Source organism: Homo sapiens, chromosome 1 (genome assembly GCF_000001405.40).
Source record: "Homo sapiens chromosome 1, GRCh38.p14 Primary Assembly".
NCBI lineage: Eukaryota > Metazoa > Chordata > Mammalia > Primates > Hominidae > Homo > Homo sapiens.
Window position 1 is genome coordinate 10,947,064 of NC_000001.11, and position 25,073 is coordinate 10,972,136.

At 52.2% G+C, this 25,073-nt stretch overlaps 1 protein-coding gene across 6 annotated transcripts in view, besides 7 other annotated features; it reads right to left on the minus strand.

Annotated features, from left to right (window-relative positions):
* CIROZ (ciliated left-right organizer protein containing ZP-N domains) overlaps positions 1-25,073 on the minus strand; it is a 35,602-nt gene that overhangs the window by 589 nt on the left and 9,940 nt on the right. Inside the window, exons 3-12 of one of the 6 annotated variants that reach the window (NM_001170754.2) lie at positions 22,907-23,026; positions 19,295-19,419; positions 17,065-17,208; positions 11,651-11,689; positions 10,553-10,690; positions 9,960-10,044; positions 7,927-8,123; positions 6,956-7,079; positions 2,561-2,751; positions 580-1,781 (exon numbers count right to left, since the gene is read on the minus strand). In NM_001170754.2, coding sequence (NP_001164225.1) covers positions 600-1,781; positions 2,561-2,751; positions 6,956-7,079; positions 7,927-8,123; positions 9,960-10,044; positions 10,553-10,690; positions 11,651-11,689; positions 17,065-17,208; positions 19,295-19,419; positions 22,907-23,026 — 2,345 coding nt within the window. In that variant the 3' untranslated portion in view covers positions 580-599. Of the gene's footprint in view, positions 1-579; positions 1,782-2,494; positions 2,752-6,955; positions 7,080-7,926; positions 8,124-9,959; positions 10,045-10,552; positions 10,691-11,650; positions 11,690-17,064; positions 17,209-18,516; positions 18,620-19,294; positions 19,420-19,532; positions 19,625-22,906; positions 23,027-25,073 lie in introns of those variants that run through there. The other 5 variants (NM_001366227.2, XM_047446828.1, XM_047446830.1 and 2 more) reach the window with 5 other exon arrangements.
* Positions 927-1,428: an enhancer, noted in NCBI's record as "H3K4me1 hESC enhancer chr1:11008047-11008548 (GRCh37/hg19 assembly coordinates)". NCBI's record gives its function as "activates a minimal SCP1, AML or CMV promoter by ChIP-STARR-seq in naive H9 embryonic stem cells {active_cell/tissue: H9 hESC(naive)}" and the evidence as "EXISTENCE:reporter gene assay evidence [ECO:0000049][PMID:30033119]".
* Positions 11,398-12,167: an enhancer, noted in NCBI's record as "OCT4-NANOG-H3K4me1 hESC enhancer chr1:11018518-11019287 (GRCh37/hg19 assembly coordinates)". NCBI's record gives its function as "activates a minimal SCP1, AML or CMV promoter by ChIP-STARR-seq in naive and primed H9 embryonic stem cells {active_cell/tissue: H9 hESC(naive and primed)}" and the evidence as "EXISTENCE:reporter gene assay evidence [ECO:0000049][PMID:30033119]".
* Positions 12,937-13,706: an enhancer, noted in NCBI's record as "H3K4me1 hESC enhancer chr1:11020057-11020826 (GRCh37/hg19 assembly coordinates)". NCBI's record gives its function as "activates a minimal SCP1, AML or CMV promoter by ChIP-STARR-seq in naive H9 embryonic stem cells {active_cell/tissue: H9 hESC(naive)}" and the evidence as "EXISTENCE:reporter gene assay evidence [ECO:0000049][PMID:30033119]".
* Positions 14,009-14,303: a silencer, noted in NCBI's record as "tiled region #3012; HepG2 Repressive DNase matched - State 8:EnhW". NCBI's record gives its function as "represses a minimal TATA promoter and a strong SV40 promoter by Sharpr-MPRA in HepG2 cells {active_cell/tissue: HepG2}" and the evidence as "EXISTENCE:reporter gene assay evidence [ECO:0000049][PMID:27701403]".
* Positions 18,153-18,222: an enhancer, noted in NCBI's record as "active region_156". NCBI's record gives its function as "activates an Ori minimal core promoter by ATAC-STARR-seq in GM12878 lymphoblastoid cells {active_cell/tissue: GM12878}" and the evidence as "EXISTENCE:reporter gene assay evidence [ECO:0000049][PMID:35858748]".
* Positions 18,263-18,322: an enhancer, noted in NCBI's record as "active region_157". NCBI's record gives its function as "activates an Ori minimal core promoter by ATAC-STARR-seq in GM12878 lymphoblastoid cells {active_cell/tissue: GM12878}" and the evidence as "EXISTENCE:reporter gene assay evidence [ECO:0000049][PMID:35858748]".
* Positions 21,441-21,540: a silencer, noted in NCBI's record as "silent region_257". NCBI's record gives its function as "represses an Ori minimal core promoter by ATAC-STARR-seq in GM12878 lymphoblastoid cells {active_cell/tissue: GM12878}" and the evidence as "EXISTENCE:reporter gene assay evidence [ECO:0000049][PMID:35858748]".

Consider the following 25,073-nt stretch of genomic DNA (forward strand, 5'->3'; position numbering starts at 1 on the left):
ACGTTCCTTTCCCACCCAACTCTCAACAGCCCCATCGGGAGGAATGATTACCATCCCCATTTGACCCATCAGGAAACTGAGGCTCAGAGAGGTGAGTGCCTTGCCAAGGTCACACAGCCAAAGAGCAGAGGAACTGGGACTTGAACCTAGCTCCTGGCAGGCCTGGCTGCAAAGCCTGCACCTCACCCTGATGCTTCACCACCTCCGACAGCAGACCAAGCCCAGAAACACAGCTGGCAGGGCCAGGGAGAGACCAGGAGACACTGCCCTGCACTCAGCGCCTCTTCCCTCGGGGAGGTCCATGCAGGCAGACGGCCTGCCGCTTCACCCCTCCCTCTGGGTTCCATGGCAGCAGCTGGTACCCTGCTGGCTTGGATGGCCCCAGTGACTCTCAGTGACCCAGTGCCCCTGGACTCCCTGGCCTAGATGCCTAGCTGTGGCTGAGCACAGTGATCATCTGGGCCAGAAGAGCACCGGGGCTTCCCTGGAAAGACGGCCCCCAGCCCCCACCTCCAGGCCGACCCATCACTGCCTCCCACCCTTTGCACTCTACCTCCCCAGGGTGCACCCAGGACTCACCCTGGAGTCTCCATGGAGGCTCAGCGTGAGGGCCTCTCAGAAAGCCCCTCCACACTGTCTTGAAGCTCAGGAGGCCTGTGGCTTTCAGCACTGAGGGCCAAGGTGGGCTCTGTCAGCTCCTGCTGGAGTGAGGCCCCCCGGCCAGCCTGGAAGGGGTATTCAAGCTCCACCAGGCTGGGTAGCAACACTCCTGTGGGAGCCCACAGGCTCAGGGTTTGCGTGGATGGAGGGCTGGACGTGTGTGCAACCCCCCACTCCTCCTGGCCCACAGGCCAGCCAGGGGCTGACTCCAGGTATCGGGCCTGGTCTGGCCCTCCCACAGATGAGGCTTCGGGTGTCAGAAGAGCTGCTGGGCGAACAGGTTCTGGTGGCAGAGGTTCCATAGGAAGAACTGCCAGGGGCGCTGCCAGCCTCACCCTGGGCATCCCGGTGAGTTCAGGTCCTGAACTCAGCCAGGCACTGGGGTCTGGCTGCCTCACACTTGGGGTGGAGAATGTGGCATCCCTCGCTGGCAGGATGGAGAGTCCCGGCCCCTCTATGTCCTGGCTTGGTTCTGAGGATGAAAGGTCCATGTGCCCCCTGGCCCCCTCCCTGGGGAGACCAGGCCCTGTCTGGCGTGGCCTCTCCACCTCCGTTCCAGAGCACGTTTCCTGGGGCTCTCCGGGAGAACGGTGAGAAACCAGCTCCTCTGCAGCCAGTGTGGCCCGCCAGGGCCTCGCCAATGGCTGGAACTCCTCACTGGCTTGGCCGGGCTCCCCCATGATGGGCTCAGGTGCAGCCACATCCCCGCTTGACAAGCCTCTCAGCAGGAGGGGACTTCCTGGAGACTTGGCGGGGTCCTGTTCAGGCCTCACAGTTCCTAGACCTTCAGTCAGGGTGACAGATGGTCCTGAGACCAGAAGTGATTCAGGTCGTTCAGGCCTCGGGGCTGGCGGTGAAGGAGAGGAGGCATCTGAGGACACGGGCAGGGTCAGAGCCGGGTGCGTTGGCAAGACTGGACGTGGCCGCCAGGGACTAGCCTGGACACCCTCTACAGGCTCCGAGGGGAGCGTGGCTGGAGGTGTGGGGTGTCCAGGGATCCCTGCTTCCCCTGGGGGAGGCTGGGGACCTCGCTGAGCTTGCACCACTCTGGGGAGAATGGAGGCAGATGTCTGGCCTCTTCTCGCCGGTTTGGCTGTTTGCAGGAATGGTCCAAGCCCCTTCTTCACCAAGAGAGAAGTGGAGAGAGAAAAAGCATTAGAAACAAGAACACATGGGCTCCGGCTGCCCTGAGAATCTCAACCCAAAGATGGGTTCGAGGGACCGGGTGCGGTGGCTCACGACTGTAATCCCAACACAATAGGAGGCCAAGGCGGGTGGATCACTTGAGGCCAGGAGTTCCAGACTGGCCTGGCCAACATGGTGAAACCCCATCTCTACTAAAAATACAAAATTAGCCAGGTGTGGTGGCGTGGGCCTGTAATCCCAGCTACTCGGGAAGCTGAGGCAGAAGGATCGCCTGAATCTGGGAGGTGGAGGCTGCAGTAAGCCAAGATCGTGCCACTGGACTCCAGCCTGGATGACAAAGCAAGACCCCATCTCAAAAAAAAAAAAAAAAGAAGAGCTGGAGGAAACTGTGACCTCTGGGTCTCCAGTCCTCTGGTGTGCCTCAGTTTCCCTCCCTCCATTTGTGTGCATAGCTGCTGACCCCCCACCCTCTGCTGCCTCCTTTGGCTGTGTCTCAAGGCCCTGGGAGGCTGCCGTGATCCAGGCCGACAGATGAGGGGGGCTGCCCTCAGGTGGGAGCTCTTGGGGGCCCAGCTTTCTATGGGAAATATTCTGAATTTGAGGAGGTAACATGGTTGGGGATCAGAGTGGGGCTCTCTTTGGAAGAATGGTGGTGAAAGAGAAGGGCCTCAGGCCCAGCTGGGTCTACCGATACTTCTTGGGGACCAGACTCTTTGGAGGAAACCATGGGCAGAGGATGCAGCCATAGACGTGCTTTGGCCAGTGCGTCGGAAGGCCGGTGCAGGAGGTCCCGAGAAAGCCATTCCTGGGCAGCTGGTCCTGCAGCCCACACCTGGGAGGAAGCAGCAGGTGGCACTCCCGCTGGAGGGGTCTCTGGTCCTGGGGATGGTGGGGAGGGAGTGGTCCTCAGTGCAGCAGTTGAGGCAGGCGACTCTGTTCCTGAACCTTCCAGAGAGAAGACAGAGGTCAGCCTTCCTCCTAAGGAAGCAAAATCCTCCCAACACCCTGCTGAAGGGACCATGAGTGACCCCTTTTCCACAGGTGGGGAACGGAAGCTTGGGGAGGTCAGATGCAAGTCCTGGGTTGGGAAATGTCCATTGGCTGAATTTCACAGTCCTCCCACTTGGAGTCCTTTTTGAGACTATGTGGACATCAAGATTCTTTTTTTTTTTTTTTTTTTTTTGAGATGGAGTCTCACTCTGTGGCCAGGCTGGAGTGTAGTGGTACAGTCTCAGCTCACTGCAACCTCCGCCTCCTGGGTTCAAGTGATCTTCTTGCCTCAGCCTCCCAAGTAGCTGGGATTACAGGTGTGCACCACCATGCCCAACTAATTTTTTTGTATTTTTAGTAGAGATGGGTTTCACCATGTTAGCCAGGCTGGTCTCGAACTCCCGACCTCAAATGATCTGCCCGCCTTGGCCTGTTAAAGTGCTGGGATTACAGGAGTGAGCCACCACGACTGGCCCATTTTTTAAAATTAAGTCACAGAAATTCAGATTTCTGCAAGGGGCACCTGGCCCTGACTCCCTGTCCCAGCTTCAATGCCACCAGATGGTTTCGTCTTTTGAGCCATTTCCTATTTTGAGGTCAAATACCTTGGCTCAGCCTCAGGAACCACAGAGAACCGGAGAGTGCTCCCTGCCTGACCACCTTTCAGGTCAGACTCAGCCCAGGCAGCGTAGGCATTCCAGGCCGATCATGCTTTGCCAAGTGCAGGAGAGGAGGTACGGTGCAGGGTGTTCAGCAGGCCCCCTGGCCTCCGCCCACCAGATGCTGGTAGGATCCCCTGAGTCATGACAACCAAAAAGGTCTCCAGATGTTGCTAAGTGTCTCCTGAGAGGCAAAAATCCCAGTTGAGAACTGCTGGGTTCCAGCTTGCAAATTCTGGCCCAAGGGTCAAATACAGCCCTTGGACATGTTTGACTCGGCCTGCAGGGTGTTTGAACTATTTTTTAAATTAACCAACAACATTTTAAAAGCAGGAGTTCTTATATAACCAGGTTCTCGTGGAAAACCAGATTTGGCTACACAGGCCTGCCTCCCTGCAAGATAGGATCAGCTCCAGCTAAGCGAGGCTGCTCCACTTAGAGGGACCTGGTGGCTGCGGGTTCCCAGGATTCTCCACCACTCCCTGTCACCTCCAACACTGAGCTTTGCTGCCTTATCCTCCCATGCCCAGGCCCTGGGTGTTCTTATCCTCCCCACTGTCCCGCCGCTGACATTCCCCGTCCCACCCCGAGAGGCATTTCCATCAGTGAACCCGACTTTAAAATGTGAAAACAGGCCGGGCACAGTGGTTCACACCTGTAATCCCAGCACTTCGGGAGGCCAAGGCAGGAGGATCACTTGAGCCCAGGAGTTTAAGAACAGCCTGGGCAACATGCATGATCTCATCTCTATAAAAAATATTTAAGGCTGGGCATGGTGGCTCACGCCTGTAATCCCAGCAGTACGGGAGGCTGAGGCGGCTGGATCACCTGAGGTCAGGAGTTTAAGACCAGCCTGATCAACATGGTGAAACCTCATCTCTACTAAAAATACAGATTAGCCAGGCATGGTGGCGGGCACTTGTAATCCCAGCTACTCGGGAGGCTGAAGCAGGAGAGGTGGAGGTTGCAGTGAGCCAAGATTGCGTCATTGCACTCCAGCCTGGGCAACAAGAGTGAGACTCTGTCTCGGGGTAAAAAAAAAAAAAAAGTTTAAAAACTAGCTTGGTATGGTGTCTTGTACCTATAATCCCAGCTACTCAGGAGGCTGAGACAGGAGGATCCCTTGAGCCCAGGAGCTCAATGTTATAATGAGCTATGATTGCAACATTGTACTTCAACCTAGGCAATAGAACAAGACCCTGTCTCTTATTTAAAAAAAAAAAAAAAATATATATATATATATATATGCACACACACACATACACACACATATGAAAACAACTATATCTAAACCATCTCTTAGATTTCTGCAGACCAGACACTTCAATAATTAGGATTTGTCCTATAGGTTCTAATTACTTTTGGGGTCAGGGAAGAGGAAGATTTTTTAAAAATCTCTAACCACGGGGAGTTTAGGCAATTCTAGCATATATTAATATTCCAACACATTAGTCACATATTTACAAAAGAAAAATATTATCTGTGTAAAACTTTTTTCTTTAATTCCTGGTGAAAATTCAAGCCAACAAGCATTTATGAAGTGCTTACAAGGGCAAGGCGGCAAGATAAGGCCTGTCAAGAATAAGAAGCCGAACAGGACACAGCCCCTGATCTGAATGAATTCATACTAGAGGGAGAGACAGGAGCATGCACCATAACTATAATAAGAATAGAAAGACCTCGAAGCTGCAGGGAAGCTGCTGGGGAGGTGCAGGGGAGGTGTGCTGGGAACCAGGGAGGGGAGAGATTCATTCTGGTTGCTGATGTAAAATTAACAAAATGAGGAAGAGAACATTCTTTCCCCGTGTAAATCTTTCCAGAGAGGCCAAAAAAACTCTTCCTAAAATGTTTCTATTGCTGTTGCTGATCTATTTTTATACTGTACTCTGTATCTTCCTATCAAGGACCTGCCCTCTCATCAAAACCTAGGATAAAGATCACCTACTCTCTGACATCTCTCCTGAGTTCACCTGCCCTCATAATTCTCTGGGCATTTTTTTGGTGTTGTTTTTTGGTTTTGTTTCTGTTTTGAGACGAGTCTTGCTCTGTTGCCCAGGCTGGAATGCAGTGGCACAATCTCAGCTCACTGCAACCTCCACCTCCCAGGTGCAAGCGATTCTCCTGCCTCAGCCTCCCAAGTAGCTGCGATTACAGATTAGAGATGTCTTCTTTTAGGAGAGACAGGGTTTCGCCATGTTGGCCAGGCTGATCTCAAACTCCTGGCCTCAAGTGATCCTCCCACCTTGGCCTCCCAAAGTGCTGGGATTATAGGCGTGAGCCACCGCGTCTGGCCTTTCTGTGGGCATTTCTTATCTCCCCTTCCAGATTGGACGCTGCTTGAGAGCAAGAACCAAATCCAGCAGCCTCTATTCCCACCTAAGCCTTGCATGGGGCCTCATAAATCGCAACTGCTTATTGAATATCTGTTGGATAAAGTTCTAGCCCTCGCTTTCCAAGATTAATGTCATCACTGCAGGAAACTGTTAAAATAAAAACAGCCAAAATGTGTAAAAATTTTCAAGAAACATTTCCATTTTTAGCAGACTGTCAGAACTCACCCCCAATCCCGCCTTTTTCTTTGTTTCTAATTCTGAATTTGGGGCTAGCTGTGGTAGGCAGTCCCCCTTTTAATCTTTAAATATAGTTCTGAATATAATTACACTTTTGTGCAACACCGAAACATCATATCCTCGTGACAGGGCAAACTTGCACTATTAACATCTGAGTTAAATCTCCTTCGCGTCTGTCTTCGATTGAGGACAGTTAGGAAGTATAAGATGAAAGTGATCGACATCGTTTGTGAATTACGTGCATTTCCTTGTGCTGTATTTCAATGGATTTTGCTCCTGGTGGTTTTGCATGTGTGAATACCAGGTTGTCCATTAGCGGAGCTTTCGCCAAAAACCCCATCCCAGCATCCTAGCATGAAGGCATACACCACGTTTAGAAGAAGGTTCCTCTTGAGCTGAGAAACAAGTTGCATCGTGTCGTGCTCTTTGCCAAGGACACTCGTCTGTCTACCAAATGACCGGAGGAACTGGAGCCCACACAGAGAGAGTGGATAAATGGAAACAGCTCTTCTTGTGCCAGGCACTCACTCTTCTAAGCCATTGATTCCCCTTATCTCATTCAGTCCTCAAAATAGGTACTGGTATGCCTATTTTCCAGATGGGAAAACTGAGGCTCAACATGGTTAAGTAACTCACTGAGGTTGTACGGTTGGTTAGGAAATGGATGCACCCCCATCCGCCTCCCTTGTCCCCTCCCTGGCAGACTCCAGGGCCAGGAACCACATCACCACTCAGTTCTCATGATACTGTTGTTCTTCTGCCAGTTCCAGCCAGTATGTCTGACACCTCACTTACCTTGTAGGTGTGGGATCTGTCGGGTCCAGGGAGTGAAACATTGTCACAGAAGAAAGAACCCCAGGGCCAAGGAAAGAGGGTTTGTGTGGTGTGTGCCTGTTACCAGCAGTCACACCCTCATGGTGCCTCACTCACCCACACACTGGAAGAAGCTCTCCACTGTCCAGAGGACCGGGGCAGCCATCTCGGCAAATTCCAGGCTCAGGTCTACCCTATAGAAAGCTTGTGTTCCCGGGGTTCCTCCGACTTCTTGGCATCGCTGTGGGGCCACAAGAAATTAGTTGCACATTGGCTGGGCGCAGTGGCTCACGCCTGTAATCCCAGCACTTTGGGAGGCTGAGGCAGGCGGATCATGAGGTCAGGAGATCGAGACCATCTGGCTAACACAGTGAAACCCTGTCTCTACTAAAAACACAAAAAATTAGCTGGGCGTGGTGGTGGGCACCTGTAGTCCCAGCTACTCGGGAGGCTGAGGCAGGAGAATCGCTTGAACCCAGGAGGAGGAGGTTTCAGTGAGCCGAGATCGCGCCACTGCACTCCAGCCTGGGCAACAGAGCGAGACTCTGTCTCAAAAAAAAAAAAAAGAAAAGAAAAGAAAAGAAAAGATAAGAAATTAGTTGCACATGGCAGGGGCATCCCATGCCCTGTGGCTGTCCCCTGATGGGGCTACCTTGGTAAAAGCACGGGCCTGAGGAGCATACATGGTGAAGTCCATTTTCAGCCAGCGCCACAGCTCTGCCCTCCACATTTCTTTCTTTTTTACTTTTATTTTTTGAGACAGGGTCTCACTCCCATTGCCTAGGCAGGAGTGCAGTGGCACAATCACAGCTCATTACAGACTCAACTCCCTAAGATCAAGCAATTCTCCCACCTCATTTTGTAATTTTTTTGTAGCAATGAGGTCTCACTATGTTTCCCAGGCTGGTCTTGAACTCCCAGGCTCAAGTGACGCTCCGGCCTCGGCTTCCCAAAGTGCTGGGATTACAGGCACGAGCCACTGTGACTGGCCTACCTTCCATGTTTCTGACCACATATGGCATCGGTGACCAAAGGAGAAGGGCCTCAGGAAGAGAAGGGGCGAGACAGAGATGCCACCGGATACTCACCTGGACCTGGAGCACCCCGGCCGCCGGAATGCTGACCACCACAAAGTCCTTGTTCTCAGTCACCATAAAGATGTTGGACTGGTGGACTCGGAGGAATCTGAGGCTCAGGGTTTCCTCAATGTAGGAACCTCTTTTGACTAGACCCAGTCTCTGCTTGGGGATGTGAACTAAGACCTCCGACTCTGGCTGGAATGACACTGGAATGGGAAGGACACAGGACACAGAAAAAGGCACACTTTGCAGGCTCGTGGACAAATTAAGTGGTGGTGGGCCTTTGCCAGGGGCCACACCTGTGGCCGGCACAGCACACTTCCCCAGTCAGTGACAGCAAGTTACTTGGTGTCCTGGTATCACTGCCTGGGCTGAAACTTAGCTGCATGGATGAAGAAGAGAAGAAAAAAAGACCATTCCCAAACACCTGACAGACCTTGCCACTTGCAAAGGCCCATCAGGAAGCAGATGCCAGGAGGGAAGCTGCAGAAATGTCTCTACTGAGACCGTCTTTGGCTTCGGTGACCTAGCCCAGTGCCCCTTCCATTTCCAAAGCAACTCTTAAGTAATATAACTCCTAGGCCAGGCACAGTGGTCCATGCCTGTAATCCCAGCACTTTGGGAGGCCGAGGTGGGTGGATTACCTCAGGTCAGGATTTCAAGACCAGCCTGGCCTACATGGTGAAACCCCATCTCTACTAAAAACACAAAAAATTAGCCAGGCGTGGTGGCGGGTGCCTGTAATCCCAGCTACTTGGGAGGCTGAGGCAGGAGAATCGCTTGAACCCTGGAGGTGGAGGTTGCAATGAGCCGAGATCGCACCACTGCACTCCCACCTGGGCAACAAGAGTGAAACTCCATCTCAAAAAAAAAAAAAAAAAAGAAAGAAATACAGCTCCTATCAGTTGTTTACACTTTAGCAAGAATTTCACTGTGTCAGGCTCTCAGGGGGACATTTTAAGCCAGCTCTGCAGCTGCTAATGGAAGCATCTGCCTTTATATAAAGGGATTTGAAACACTGTGAACAGGGAAAGAGATGGTTGGAGGCTCATCATGGTCATTGCCAATGCCTGAAAATCCCCAGAGCCCTGAGCCCTGATCCCGAAACTCAGTCCATGATAAAATTCTATACAAATGGAAAGTCTAAACCACCTCTAATCTACCCACACAGGATGAAGCCTTTGATCCACCTAACTTTGCACACCGAGTTCTTTGAATTTAAATTCCCTGGAGGTAGGAAGTGGTCTTCCAGATTCCGGACCTCTTTATATGACATAAGACCCAGGGCAACGGTGTCACTCCAGGCTGAACAAAACAGTTATCACATACATGGTCTAGATAGGGGGTCCCCACCACCCTCAGATCACAGAGCCCTGGAGGGTCTGACCAGGCTGCAGGCTCTCTCCCGTCTCTGTTCTCAGAGCCTCTGGAGCCAGCTTAGGAGCTCCCAAGAATTTGCAGACCTCAAGTTTGCAGGTCTGTAGTAGATGATTTTACTTTTTTTTTTTTTTTTGAGATGGAGTCTCGCTCTGTCCCCCAGGCTGGAGTGCAGTGGCACCATCTCGGCTCACTGCAAGCTCCGCCTCCCAGGTTCACGCCATTCTCCTGCCTCAGCCTCCTGAGTAGCTAGGACTACAGGCCCCCGCCACCACGCCCGGCTAATTTTTTGTATTTTTTTAGTAGAGACAGGGTTTCACCGTGTTAGCCAGGATGGTCTTGATCTCCTGACCTCGTAATCCACCCGCCGCGGCCTCCCAAAGTGCTGGGATTACAGGCGTGAGCCACCGCGCCCGGCCGATGATTTTACTTTTTATTCACCCCACATCCCACCCCTACTCCACACACACATACCCCAACACCTTCCAGCAAAAGCAAACTTCTCTTTGTCCCGAGCATTTCTGAAACGCATAGCCAAGGTTGGGACTGAGGAGAGGAGAGGTGGGATGAGACAGAGGGGAATAAGGTGCCCAGAGGAGGGAGAAAACAGACCAGAATGTGATGAAGTTGGAAAGGTGGACATTAGGGGCACTCCTGGGTCTTACCCGGTGGGCAAGCAGCTTCTAAAGAATAGGCATGGTGACCGCTCACCAGCCATAGTGGCAGGAGCTCAGCAGAGGTGTTCAGCACCTGGGGAGGAAGGGGGGTCCCCCCTGAGGTCTCCAAAACTGCTCCTTCCAGATGCAGACTCCCTCCACAGGGGCCCCCTCTCCTACCTTCGAATTAGTCTCTGAACTAAAGCCCCAAGTGTTACAAAGCCCAGGTCAGGGATTATGGCGCCGATGCAACTAGGAAATATTATTTAGCTGAGATATTTTTAGCAGGAAGCGAGCTCAGAGCAAATGTCATGTGAGCCGTCTTCTCTTACACAGCAACTTTGGGCTATTTAAAGAGACGGTAATTACGCTCCTGCCGCCATGATCAGGACGCACTGAATGCATGATTGCAGGAGCCCCTCATCTGCAGAGCGGAGCGCTTTACGCTAATGGGGCCCAATTTTCGAAGGCGCCTGCCTAAATCTGTCCAGTCTCGCAGGTGGACATTTGACTTGTCACTGGAGGGGTGGCAACCTGCTCTTCTAGGTGCTATGCCCCAGAGGCCCCTCACCTCCTGGCAGAGCCTGCTGCCCACCACTGACCTCCCACCTCTGAAGAAGGCCTTGTCTCGGGCTTTGGACGGTGACAGTGGTGGCATTCATGTCCACATACAGTCCCATCAGGCTGGCGTCTTCAAGAGAAGCCACCAGCTCCCCTCGAAGGGACAGCAGCCATGGAGTCTGGAGAAAGAGGACACGATCACAAACCATGTGGCCAGGGAGGCACGGTCACTAGGGGTTACGGAGAGGGGACACTTGAAGGGTCACCTAGGAAGGCAACAGGGTCACGGGGAGGATAATCTAGGCCAGGAGGCAGGACGGCAGGCCACTCTGGGAGGAGAGTCAACCAGACGCTAGCACGCTTATACTTTAGGGTAGGAGGTCCCTTGCAGGGGTGCCTGGCACACAGTAGGTGTACAACGCAACTGAAAGAACGAACACACAGTTACCCCTAACAGCAATGCCAACCAGTCGGCCCCTATGCCGCCCTGGCTGGGCACAACTGGAGTCCTGTCCTTGGCTCTGTTTGCCACCCTTTAGTGGGACATGGGAATCAGGGTCTTGAATAAAGGTGAGGGCCAGATGCGGGCAGAGGGACAGGGAAGGGTCGCCAGCTCCCATCTCAGGAGGACTGGCAGGGAGACATCAGGAAGACTTGGGGAGGTCAAGCTCACTGACCCCAAATATTCAAAGGGATGTGAAATGGAGAAGAGGGACTGGATCCTTCGGGGAGGCTGCGGGAAACACTCAAAGGACCAGCAGAAGGAAAATTCGGGAAACACCTGTGCAACATGGAACAAGCTCCTTACAAAGGAACAAGCTCCCTGTCACTGGAGACTTGGCAGAGAGAATCTTAGCACAGGAAGGACCTTACAGCCTTCCAACCCAGCCTCCCACCCAAAGCTGGGGTCCCCTCTTCAAGATTGTTCTCAGATGGCCTCAGGCCTCTGCCTGGAGGGCATCAGTGGGAGCTTCAAACTTCAGCCGGCAAGACCTGGTCCTTGAAGAGTCTGTACCATCCACGACACTCTCCGGAGGACAAGCAAACTCAAAAGCTGCCTCAGAGCATCCTGAGCACCCACCAGTCCTAGCAGAAACTTCCAGAGAGTTGCTCCTGCTACTTCAATGGGGCCCGCTTACCTGTCTATTGTCCCTCCACAGGGGCAGGGGCCGGGAGACCTGCAGAGACAAAGAGGAAGCAATGTCTCCTGCAAGCGGTGAGCAAAGGTGAGCAAACATCCCTGCCTGTGCCCATCAGCACCGGCAATTACCCCAGCAGGAGGCCGGTGAGAGAGCTGTGCCGCAGGGTTGTTTGCTCATTAAGACAAGAAAATCATTTATGTTCTGGGACTCGAGTGTCAACAGACGCAGGGAAATGTCACTGCCTCAGCTGCCATCCTAGGCCCGGCCAAGGGGGCAGCTGGGGTCCTGGGCGCAGCTGGTGAGGCCAAGAGCGGGTGTGCATGGGACCAACCCTGCTCACGGCCCACTTCCATTGGGGCTGTTTCCTAGGCCTCTTGTCTGTTTTTCTCCCTAAGTCCCAATTTCTTTCTCGCCCTTTTTCTTTCCACTTTGGATCCAACTAGCAGAAGTAGAGAGTGAGGGCTTCTACGGTCCCAGAGAGTACACATGTGCCCCCCAATGGCACCATTCTTAGGGGCACCAACCATCCCGGTTCCCCAGCAGTGGGGAGGTTCCCCTGATGTGGGATTTTCAGTGCTAAAACTGAGACAGGCCCAGGCAAACCGAGACAGTGGTTTCTCGTACCGCGCCTGAGTCTCACAGCCATCCCGTAGGGTGGCACCATTCTCCCGTTTCACAGACCAGGGCCCAAGGTGATGGCGTGGGCAAGGCACCTTCCCCAAAACCCCTCTGCAGCCAGTGCCACCCCACCCAGGTGCTCTCTCAAGTCTCTCTACTTTCTCCAAATGCCCCTTTGCCTTTGCGTCAGACTTGGCCAGGGAGGTTGTGGCACCGGACAGAGTCACAGACCAGCAGAGGGTCCCTCGGAGACCATCAGACCCCCTCTCCTACCCAATACAGAATGAGGAGACTGGAGCCAGAGTGGACTGACTCATCTTGACAGCTCCCCAACTCAAGGCTACCCACCTCTTCTCCCCAGGGGCAAAGAAGGGCTTCCAGAAGCAGAAAGGAGTGGGTGGGGCCAGGAAAAGGCCCGCCACCACCATGCAGCCTCCCCAGTTGCCCAGCTCGGCTGTTCCTTGGCCCCAGAGAGCCCATGTTGGCAGCAGGCTCGGGCTGCCCACAGGGAGCCCCTCGGGTCAGCCCTGTGATGGCCTTGCTTTTAGGGGGTGCTGCCTTCCCTTGGGGAGCAAAGTGGAAGAAATGGAGGAGATGTCCACAAGGTCTGGCAGAATGAGGAGGATGCGGCAATTCCTCAACAACACCACCAAAGCTGCACCATGGTGCCCCAGCCCATCTCCCCTGCTGAACCAGGAAGAAGACAGAGAGGCCCCCAGAGGCCAGGCTGTAAGAAGGAGGGAAGCAATTCTGCTAAAAGAAGGAAGGGAAGGCCAGGTGCAGTGGCTCATGCCTGGAATCTCAGCACTTTGGGAGGCTGAGGCGGGTGGATCACCTGAGCTCAGGAGTTCCAGACCAGCCTGGGCAACATGGTGAAACCCCATCTTTACCGAAAATACAAAAAATAAAAAATAAAAAAATTAGCCAGGAGTGGTGGCAGGCGCCTGTAGTCCCAGCTACTCAGGAGGCTGAGGCACGAGGTTCGCTTCAACCTGGGAGGCGGAAGTTGCAGTGAACTGAGATTGTCCCACTCACTCCAGCCTGGGCGACTCTGGCCAGAGTGAGACTCTGTCTCCAAGAAAAAAAAAGAAAGGAAGGGAAGACGTGACAAGTACGCAGCCAAAACGCACCGTGCCCTTTAAGTCGCCAGGAGGAGGCTATATTTAGGGCCCGTGGACATTCCGCAGGAGCTCGGGCAGCCTTCACTGGGAGCAATCGCTAATCACTGCATTGAGTTTACGGGTGCCCCTGGGCACACTTAACCCAGGGCAATGAATAGTTATTGCGCGGCCTCCCGCTCGGGGCCTGTGGGCACACTTAAGCGAGCTCGCAGATCGCTGCGAGCAGGGCACGGCTCGGGTACACCCTTGGGCACCCTGCGCCATCAGCGGGGAGAGGCAGAGTATTAAATATCTATGTGCCCTGTGCCCACAGCTGCATTTAGCCAAGGGCAAGGCCGGTGAAACGGCTTTAATTAAAACTTAATGCAAGTTCAAGGTGCAGCCACGGAAGTGGCGGCTGCAGAAGTCACCAGGAATGAATCAGTCAATTCGATGAGGTTCTCAGATGGGGGAAGGGGCTGGAGGGGAGGCGGGGGCAGCAGAGACCTGCCTCTGCTCCTTGTGTGCTGCCTACCTCTGTGCGACTCTGTTTACGGATGCAGAGCCCCCCCCACCCACCTGCTCCCACACCTCGGTCAGTGAAGGATGCCAGGGACTGGGGCATTGGGGCATCTGGGCTTCAAGGGCAGGACGATGGAGACCAAGCGGCGCCCGAGTGAGGAGTCGTTTCTGCTTTTCTCAGCAATTCGGCCCAGGCCCACTGTCGTGTGAGGACAGCAACACCGTCCCCCTAGCGGCGGCTTCCAGAATCACAGGCTCAGTGCAAAGGGAGCAGTAACCAGCCCCGGGATGTCAAACAGGTGCCCTGGCAGCCCTGCTTGGGGATCCCGGGGCGGGGCCGGCCCCGCAATTCTTAGGTGCACCAACACTGGCTTTGGCGTGGCCACTCTGAGCCCTTAATAAAGGTAGGTGGGCAGAGGAAGCCCCTCCCGCTCAGCCCCTGCTCCTTCAGGTTAAGAAGCAAAGGAACTTTAGAGAGTCCAACATGGCAGTGAGCCGGGCTCAGAGCGGAGATGAGCCCAGGTCTTCTGAGCTGGGCTGGTGCAGGGGCCCTTCCCACCACAGCACACTCATTTTTGAAGCTCAGATCAGATGAGAAGAAAGCGATAAGCTCTTCCTGGGGCAAGTCATGCCTTGGTCGTATCTGTTCCCTCAGCAGCAGCACAGGGCTGGGCATACAATAGATGCTCAATAAATGCTTGTTGGGGCCAGGCGCGGCAGCTCACGCCTGTAATCCTAGCATTTTGGGAGGCCAAGGCAGGTGGATCGGTTGAGGTCAGGAGTTCGAGACTAGCCTGGCCAACATGGTGAAACCCCATCTCTACTAAAAACGCAAAAAATATTTTAAAAATCAACTGGCTTTAATTAAACTGGTGGTGGCGCATGCCTGTGATCCCATGAGAATCGCTTGAACCCAGGAGGCAGAGGTTACAGTGAGCCGAGATCACACCGCTGTACGCCAGCCTAGGCAACAGAGCGAGACTCTGTCTCAAAATAAATAAATGAACAAATGCTTGTTGGATAAATGGTGTTTGTCATCAGCAGCCTTTTCACTCCAACCTCCTCCTCTCAGTTCTGCCTTCCTCTCCTTTCTCTTCCTCCTTCCTTCCTCCTCCTCCTCACAGACAGAAGATGCCCACCCAAATCCCTCAGGCCAAATCCAGCACTTTGTTTGAGCCGCACAGTGCCTACAAAATTAAAGTGACTTGACCGGGCGTGGTGGCTCACACCTGTAATCCCAGCACTTTGGGAGGCCGAGGCAGGCGGATCACTTGAGGTCAGGAGTTCTAGACCAGCCTGGCCAACATGAGGAAACCCCGTCTCTACCAAAAATATAAAAAATTAGCCGAGTATGGTAATGCATGCCTGTAATCCCAGCTACTCGTGAGGCTGAGGCAGGAGAATCACTTGAACCCAGGAGGCGAAAGTTGCAGTGAGCTGAGATCACGCCACTGCACTCCAGCCTGGGTGACAGAACGAGACTGCATCTCAAAAAAATAAATAAATAAAGTGAACTTTTTTTAACTGGAGGATTTCACATACAATTATAGATTTCCAGTTTATCTTGAAATGTTGGAAAATCTGGCAAAATGGGGCTGGAGTGCAGTCCAGCCTCAGCTCCCTCTGTAGGGGGCCAGGACTGTAGGTTGTGCCTGTTCCAGCATCCCCAGCCCCCACCATGTGGTCTGGCTCAAAGCCCAGCTCTGTTGCTACCAGCTGGCAAGTCTCCTAATCTCTCTCTGCTTAGTTCTCTCACCTGCAGAATGGGGATCAATATAGAACCAACTACATAGAATCGCTATGAAGGTGAGATGAGTTAATATTTGCAAAGTGAGTAGAACGGCACCCAGCACAGAATGAGCCATATATAAGTGTTTGCTGGGCCAGGCGTAGTGGCCCACGCCTATAATCCCAGGGCTTTGAGAGGCCAAGGTGAGAGGATCGCCTGAAGCCAGGAGTTTGAGACCAGCCTGGGCAACACAGTGAGACGCCGTCTCTACAAAAAATTTGAACATTAGCTGGGCATGGTGTCATACGCCTATAGTCCCAGCTACTTGGGAGGCTGAAGTGGGAGGATCCCTTAAGCTCAGGAGGTCAAGGCTGCAGTGAGCCTGCGTGACGGAGCAAGATCCTGTCTCTTTAAAAAAACAGGCCGGGTGCAGTGGCTCCCACCTGTAATCCCAGCACTTTGGGAGGCTGGGGCAGGTGGATCATTTGAGGTCAGGAGTTCAAGACCAGCCTGGCCAACATGGTGAAACTCCATCTCTACTAAAAATACAAAAATTAGCAGGGCATGGTGGCACACACCTCTAATCCTAGCTACTTGGGAGGCTGAGGCAGGAGAATCGCTTGAACCCAGGAGGCAGATGTTGCAGAGAGCCGAGATTGCACCACTGCACTCCAGCCTGGGCAACAGAGCAAGACTCCATCTCAAAAAAACAAACAAACAAACAAACAAAAAAACCCAGCTGACTAAATGAAGGAATGAGTAAAATTCTTTATTGCTTCCTCCTCAGTCCAGCACGCTCATTTCTGTGGCGGGTTTGGTCCCTATAGATGTTTGGGTTTCTAGCCCTCCCCACTCCCATCCAAATCATGTTTAGCTTACAGAGGTGCCCCGCTGATGAGAGCTAGAGAGAAACTTGAATTCAAGGAGCACACACGGCCATGAAAGAGCTCACAGTTGGATGTGGGGCTCAACCTTTCTTCCCTGATGTTTAAAATGTAGACATTGCACCTGATCGTACCTGGGGTCTATAACTCTTTGACATTACCCAGGTCAAAAAAAAAAAGCATCCAAACTAGCAAATTTAGCAAATTTTTTCAATCCAGAGAGAAAGGACACAAAGATGCAATTTTGCAGCTTTGGTGATAACCCGACTGGCCCCCTGAGCCAGCCAAGATGGGAAATCCAGAACCCGAGGTCAGAGAGCTTTAATCCCCCCTCCCCTCCCATCTCACTCGTCCTTGCTCAGAACCCAACCCAGCAGAGACCTAGCCAGTACCCAGGGATGTCTAGGAGAACAATGCCATACTGCATCTGCAGCTACCACCTGTCTCCCTGGGCCACGTCCTGTGGTGCAGGAGCCAGGGCCACCTGCCTTGGCCTTTAGAGAGAAGCCCAGCCTGGGAGGTCCCTCTGCCACCTCCCAGACCCCCCGAACCCATTACCTGGATGAACATGGGCCCACAGTGGACGCTTTCCTGGCCCAGCCTTGACCTTAGCATCGGACACTTCATTATGTAGCGATCACTCCGCTCCAACCCCATCACCCCTTTCTGAAATATTCTGATTTCCAGCCTGTAATTTGCTTTCTGGAAGTAGGGCAAAATTCATGTATGCAAATGAGAGAGGAAAATACAGTTAATAGCCTGCAATTATAGGTCAGTCCCTGTTCACAGCAAATAGGACACCATGAACCTCCTAGAAGGTGGGCTTGTGGAAGAGGGATGGGAAACGAGACCAAGGTCGACACCAACACGGAGCTTGGGTCTGGCTCTGGAAGCTCAGCCCCCACCAAGGAAGCCCTCCAGGCTGGGGAGCATTTGGGGATTTGGGGAAGGTCAAACCTAGTCAGACAGAATAAGAGCTTGCGTCCTAATGTCCCTTGAGAGTTGACAAATATTTGTTCACACTTTATCTCCTTTGATGCTCACCAGTGTCTCATAAGGCTGGGCTATTTTTTGTTGTTGAGACACAGTCTCATTCAGTCACCCAGGCTGGAGTGCAATGGCCTGATCTTGGCTCACTGCAACCTCCACCTCCCGGGTTCAAGCAATTCTTGTGCCTCAGCCTCCCAAGTAGCTGGAATTACAGGCAGACGCCAACACGCCCGTCTAATTTTTGTATTTTTAGTAGAGATGGGGTTTCACCATGTTGGCCAGGCTGGTGTTGAACTCCTGGCCTCAAGTGATCCGCTCATCTTGGCCTCCCAAAGTGCTGGGATTACAGGCGTGAGCCACCAAGCCCAGCCAAGGCTGGGTTTATGAGACATAAAATTCCCATTTTACAGATGAGGCAGTTGAGGCTTAGAGAAGGTAAATGACTAAGCCAAAGGCATGTGGCCATTTCTGAGACTAGATGTGAGAGCTGGTCTAGCTCATTCCGGTACAAGGCGGACTTCAAAGATGTCAAACCAATGGGTCCCTCTGCCCCTCCCAGGCTGCCCTCATTCAGCCACATAAGAAGAACCCAAGTCTAAGCTTTGCGGTGGGGCCTGAGAAGGGTGACGGGGCTGTCAGAGAAGGGCGACCACAGAGAGGAAGAGAAAGAGGAGGAGCAGGGTAGTTCCCAAAATTCCTTCCCCCACTCCAGACCACAGCCCCACTCAGGAAAAACTCTGGACTGGGTCAAGGAAGGGAGCACAAAGAAATGGAAAGGGGAAGTGGAGGTGAGGAAAAGACAAGAAAAAAAAAACTGTGAGCCAAACTGTGCGGCTGGTTGTCCCCTTGCAGGACCCCTGGAGTGAAATTTAAGTAACAAGAATGCTGGCACAGTGGCTCATTCCTATCATCTCAACACATTGGGACACCGAGGCGGGAGGATGGCTTGAGCCTGGGAATTCCAGACCAGCCTGGGCAACATGGTGAAACCCCATCTTCTACAAAAAGTACAAAAATTACCTGGGTGTAGTGGTGCATGCCTGTAGTCCCAGCTACTCTGGGGGCCGAGGTGGGTGGATCACTTGAGGTCAGAAGCTCAAGACCAGCCTGGCCAACAAGGTGAAACCCCGCCTTTACCAAGTAGTCTCAGCTACTTCAGAGGCTGAGGCAGGGGAATCGCTTGAACCTGGGAGGCGGAAGTTGCAGTGAGCCGAGATTGCGTCACTGCACTCCAGCCTGGGTGCCAGAGCGAGCCTCCGTCAAAAAAAAAAAAAAAAGGAAAAAGAATACAAAAATATCTTGCTTCTGTAAATTTTAGAGTCACATGGTCTCGTGAGCCCATAATGGGCCTGTGCAAGTGAGGGCTGTCAGTCAGTCTTTGCAACTCCTCAGCACCATTTATTCACTTCATTCAGCACTTACTGAGTACCTACTGTGTGCCAGGCCCTGAGGCAAGCCTGTGGGTGTGACTGCCTCACCCCAGAGACTCCAGGTCCAGCAGGATATGGTGTGTGAGTGGGCACATTATGAGTCAGTGTTGGCAATGATAGAAGCAGGTCTACTGCACAGAGAAGGGGGGATTCTCAGGAGGACTGCCTGGAGGAGGCAGCATCTGAGCTGGGCGGCCTTTTAATATCTATGCCCATAAACTCCATGAGGGCAGAGACTTCTGGTCTCCCTCAGCTCAGTTTCTGCAGAGGAATAATGGTGCAGTGTCTCCTTACTTGATATCTGAGCTCAGGCTTAGCTCCTTAAATCTCCCTTTAAAAAAAAAAAAAGAAAAGTTTCCCAAACCCACCTCTTTCTGCACAAAGCAGGCCGAGTATTGAACTCGAAAAAGGAAGTCACCGTCTGAAGCCAGATGCAGGAAGTAGCCACATTTAGCAAGAGAAGAATCCAGGTGGTCAGGGGACCTCCAGGTGCCTGGAATGAGAAAGGGACAGAAACGTGGGTTGAGCCTGTGGAGGTGGCTTCTCTGGCAGGGTCAGAAATATCAGACTCGCAGATAGAAACTGCTCCGCCTGGAAGCTTCTTACCTGGAAGGGATAAAAATAGCAGTAATTTTTAAAAGTCTGGAAAGGCATATACCAACAGGAAAGCCCGATGGTTCTTCATTCAAGGTGTATCCAGAATCCAACCCCATCTCCCCACGTGAATCCTCGGCTTGTGTCATTGCAGCTGCCTCCTCCCATGTCCCCCGGCTTCCTCCTTTGCCCCAGTTGTGTATATTTCATGCAGCAGCCCGCAGGATCCTGTTCAAAATGTAGGCAGATTGTGTCTCTCCTCTGCTCAAACCTCTTCATTGCCGGCCAGGCACGGTGGCTCACACCTGTAATCCCAGCACTTTGGGAGGCCGAGGTGGGAGGATCACTTGAGCTCAGGAGTTCAAGACCAACCCGGCCAACACTGCAAAACCCCATCTCTACTAAAAATACAAAAATTAGCCAGGCATGGTGGTGCCCGCCTGTAATTCGAGCTACTTGGGAGGTTGAGGCACGAGAATCACTTGAACCCGGAAGGTGGAGGCTGCAGTGAGCCAAGATTGTGCCACTGCACTCCAGCCTGGGTGACGGAGTGAAACACTGTCCAAAAAAAGAAAAAAAAAAAAAAAAAACTCCATTGCTTAAAAAAAACAAAGCCCTTGAAAGCCTCACGTGACCTGCCCTCACTTCTCTGACCCCCTTTCCCACTTCTCTTCCCCTCCCTCCCTCTGCTCCAAACACACCAGACCCACTGCTATTTCTCAATCATCCCAGGCCCAGTCCTGCCTCAGGGCCCTTGCACTGGCTGTGCCCTCTGCCTGGAACTCTCTTCTCCTAGATATCCACATGGCTGACTCCCCTGCCTCCTTTCAGTCCTTGTGCAAATGTTGCCTTCTCCATGAAGCCCACCCTGACTACCCTCTTAACACTCCCCGATCCTGCCCTCCTTCACCCTTTTCTGCACAATCATTGTCTTCTAACCAACTATCTTACTGGCTTATTTGTTATATTGATTGTTTATTGCCCTCTAGTCAAATGTCAGCTCCATGGGGCCAGGGATATTTGTCTGTTTTGTTCATTGCTGCATCTTTAGTGCCTCAAGCTGTTTCTGGCACACAGAAGGTTCTCAATAAATAGTTGTTGAATGAGGCTGGGCACGGTGGCTCACACCTATAATCACTCCACTTTGGGAGGCCGAGGCGAGTGGATCACTTGAGGCCAGGAGTTCGAGACCAGTCTGGCCAACATGGTGAAATCCTGTCTCTACTAAAAATACAAAAAAATTAGCTGGGAGTGGTGGCAGGCACCTGTAGTCTCAGCTACTCAGGAGGCTAAGGCAGGAGAATCACTTGAACCCAGGAGGCGGAGGTTGCAGTGCGCCAAGGTCGCGCCACTGCACTCCAGCCTGGGCAACAAAGTGAGACTCTGTCTCAAAAAAATAAATAAATACAAATAAAAATACAAAAATTCGTTCGGCGCGGTGGGGGGGCACCTGTAGTCCCAGCTACTCTGGAGGCTGAAGCAGAAGAATCGCTTAAACCCGTGGGGCAGAGGTTGCAGAGAGCTGAGATTGCACCACTGCACTCCAGCCTGGGCAACAAAGTGAGACTCCGTCTCAATAAATAAATAAATAAGTAGTTGTTGAATGAGTGAAAAATAAAGGGGGCTATCTCTGGGTAGAGGGATTACGAGCAGTTTTGATTATCTCCTTTGGATTGCCTGTAGTTTCTGTAATTATCTTGTATTGCTTCTGTCATGATTATTTTTAAAGCATTTTTAAAGCTCACAGTTTCACTTTCAAATGCTTGACTCGACTGTGCATTTGATGGAAGATGAATACGCTATTCCAGAAAACAGCTCTGGCAGCCTTTCTACGTGGGATTCTCTGGTGACATGCTTTCCTTTCAAAAGCACGCAGCTTCCACCGCTATCTTTAGCAAGAGATCAAGGCCGTGCCTCTGGCGGAGGAAGACTGTGAAAGGTAGCTCGCTGGGGAAATAAAGTGTCTGAGCTGGATGTGCAAACTGACCTGGATCGTTTTAGTTTTGCATTCACGTTTGCACTTTGTAAATATTTGCCTGGCACCCTGCTGCTCACACCTGCTTGCTGTCCCCTCAAGTTTATGGAAGGCAGCAGGCACCGTCATTTCTCCATCCCCACCTGGCGCTGCCACGTGAAATGAAAACTCTTCCTCAAAAGCCACAGGTGTCTCTGACAGCGCCTAAAACTAATGGCCTGTGGCTGGCCGCTGTGACTAATTCTCTGATTATTGGCTTTATGATTTTACGCTTAAAACTTCTTTATAATAACACACAGAAATGTTTAATGGGCTCTATCCAAAGCCATAAAAATTACTTATTGAACAAGCGTTTTAAGACTATTAATCTATTGTTTTCCATTAATAATGGCTCTCCAAAGAACAGGCGACAGCTTAATGTATCCACAGCTTTTCTCCTGGAAAAGTGGCCTTTTAATACACAAATGTCTCTCCCAAGGCGTCCCGGGCTGGCTGGCCAATGGGTGGTTGGCCCTCCCAGGGCAGATTTAGGCCCTACCGGTCCCAGAAGGTGCTTTAGGAATTTCCAGAATGAGCAGGGTCCCTAGGAGGTTTTCCTAGACTTGGGTGAGATTGGAAAGCCTCCCTCCTCAATATCTCTTTTTCTGTGCAAAAGAGAGGAGGAACCTGGGGGCTTGCTTTGCAGCCACCGAGATGCAGAGCATGGAGGGAAGCAAGCTATTTGCTCCTCTCTCTACTCGTGTTCCCTCCAGAAGGTTCCAGAAGGTTCCAGGTACGCTGAAGACATCCAATGCTTTCCTACTCCTTCTGTTGGAAAGCTCATGGCAGAAAGGTTTCTGGAAGTGACACTATGCCCCTTGTTGTTTGCTATTTTAGGTGCGCTCTTCCCCCACCAAGCATGTGATGGCCTCCCATTTCTCCCAAGTGTTTGAGAATCACCCCTTTAGTCTCACTTCCACTTTTGCAGAGTGATTTCGATTTTGGAGCATAGCGGCACCAGATGGGCGCTTCTTCCAGGGCTTTGGGCCACTTGTTCATTCAACAAATATTTATTGGGAATCTTCTAAGCACCAGGCAGTGTTCTTGGTTCTGAAGATGCAGCTGTAAACAAAAAGCACGTGGGCCGTGCCCTCACAGTGCTGCCTTCTGTTGGGAAGAGGGGCGCAGATGACAAGCTTGGGAACAATGGCAGGAGATCATCTTACTAGTGAGGAGTGCCGGGATTGTGACTGGGGTGGGCGTGGACGACTTTAGAGAGCCTGGAAGGGCTGTGGGGGGAGGTGGCCTTTGAGCAGAGATTTGAGTGATGCCCAGGAACCTGCAAGAGCCATGGGGGAGGAGCATTGCAGGCAGGGGAAGGCAACACAAAAGCCCCAGCAAAGACCCCGCCCAGCCACCGACCACCTCTTACCTGGCAAGTGCAAGGTCCTGGCCAGCCACCGCCTCAGCCCCTCCACGTGGCTCCTTGGGATCCACAGGGTCATGTAGTCTGAGAAGCACTCAACTGTGTCTGTCCAACAAGAAGATGCTTCTGAGAAGGAAGGAAGGAGGAGGGAGGGAGGTGGGGAAGGGAGGGAGGAAGGAAGGAAGGAAGGAAGAAAGGAAGGAAGGAAGGAAGGAAAAGAAGGAGCTCCTCTCAGCCTGGCTTCAATGGAATAGTCAGGAAAGGGCATGTAGGGGTCATATTGTCCTAACAGAGTGACCCTTTACTCCATACAGAGGTCACAGTTCACAGAATGCCCAAGGAGGAAGAACTTGTTGGGGAGGTCCTCAAATTCCAGCCTGCAGGCTGGGCACGGTGGCTCATGCCTGTAATCCCAACACTTTGGGAGACCGAGGCGGGTGGATCACTTGAGGCCAGGAGTTCGAGACCAGCCTGGCCAACACGGTGAAACTCCGTCTCTACTAAAAAATACAAAAATTAGCCAGGCGTGGTGGCGCATGCCTGTAATCGCAGCTACTCAGGAGGCTGAGGCAGGAGAATCGCTTGAACCTGGGAGACAGAGGTTGCAGTGAGCCGAGATCACACCACTGCACTCCAGCCTGGGTGGCAGCGAAACTCTGACTCAAAAAAAAAGATTTCCAGTGTGCCTACAAGTAACCTGAGCACTTGTTAAAATACAGATTCAGTAGGTCTAAGGCGGGGCCTGAGATTCAGCAGTTCTACCAAGTTCCCAAGTGATGGCTGCTGGTCCAGGGACAACACTTTGAGTAGCAAAGTCTTGGAGGTCATTAAATCTAAACTCTATGTTTTATAGGGGGAGACAGGGAGCAAGGTGACTTCATGGTACATATATGAGTACTCGCCAGGCATGGGGGCTCATACCTGTAATCCCAGGACTTTGGGAGGCTGAGGAGAGCAGATTGCTTAAGCTCAGAAGTTCGAGACCAGCCTGGGCCAAAGCAAGACCCCCCATCTCTAAGAAAAAAATTTTTTGTTTAAATTAGCGGAGCATCGTGGTGCATGCCTGTGGTCCCAGCTACTCAGGAGGTGAGGCGGAAAGACTGTGAGCTCAAGAGGCAGAGGCTGCAGTGAGCCGAGATGGCGCCACTACACTCCAGCCTAAGCGACAGAGCAAGACTCCACCTCAAAAAAAAAAAAGAAAAGGTAGAGTAGGGGCAAACTGGCTCAGCCATGGAATTCTGCAGCTTTGCTGACCACTCCAGGCAGAGAGCACAGCCTGTGCCCAGACCAGAGGGGAGAGGCAGTGCGCAATGTCCTGGTCACCCCTGACCCCAGCCTCTGCCCATCCTGCCCCAGTCCATTCTTGACACGGCAGCCACAAGGGATCTTAAAATGGAAATGAGATCATGTCAGTCCCTTCTCAGAACCTTCAATGGCTCCCCACTACCCTTGGAATAAAATCCAAACACTTCCACAATCCATGTGTTCCTGAGCCAAGCTGGTCTTTTCTCTACCTCAGGGCCTCTGCACATACTGTTCCCTCTGCTTGAAACACCATTCCCAACTCTTCATGTGGCTAGCTCTTCTTCATCTGCAGGTCTCAGCTTAAATGTCACCTCCTCTGGGAGGTCCTCACTGACCACCCCCACCCATTCTCTACCCTGGTCCTGTGTCTCTTTCCTTCCTGACTTGAATCACTGTTGGGAATATGTTACCTAGTTGTTTGTGAGATTTCTGTATACTTCTACTCGAGTGAGGATAGATGGAGATAAGGTTGTCTCGCACTGAGGCAAAGAGAAGCTCAGGAAGGAGAGGGGCCATGTCTGCCTTGTTGACCACTCTATCCCCAGGGTCCTCCCATGGACCAGTGCCTGTTGGCCAGCAACTGCTCAGTATCTGTCCAGCAAAGGGCTGTGGCTGGAGCCTGACCTGCCCTGAAGCTGGAGAATAAGAGAAGCCATGACCCAGAGATTTGTCTTTTTCCTTCTCCCCCATGACACATAAACTACAAGCTCCAGGAAAAGGCGTGAGTTATGTCTAACCTGTTCACCATGGCATCCCCAACACCTTGCCCTGTGCGTGGCATCCACAGAGGCGTGCTAAATATGGGTTAGGCACATGTTTTCATCCCAAGTACTCTAGTACAGAACACTGGAGTTTTCTGTAATCACAC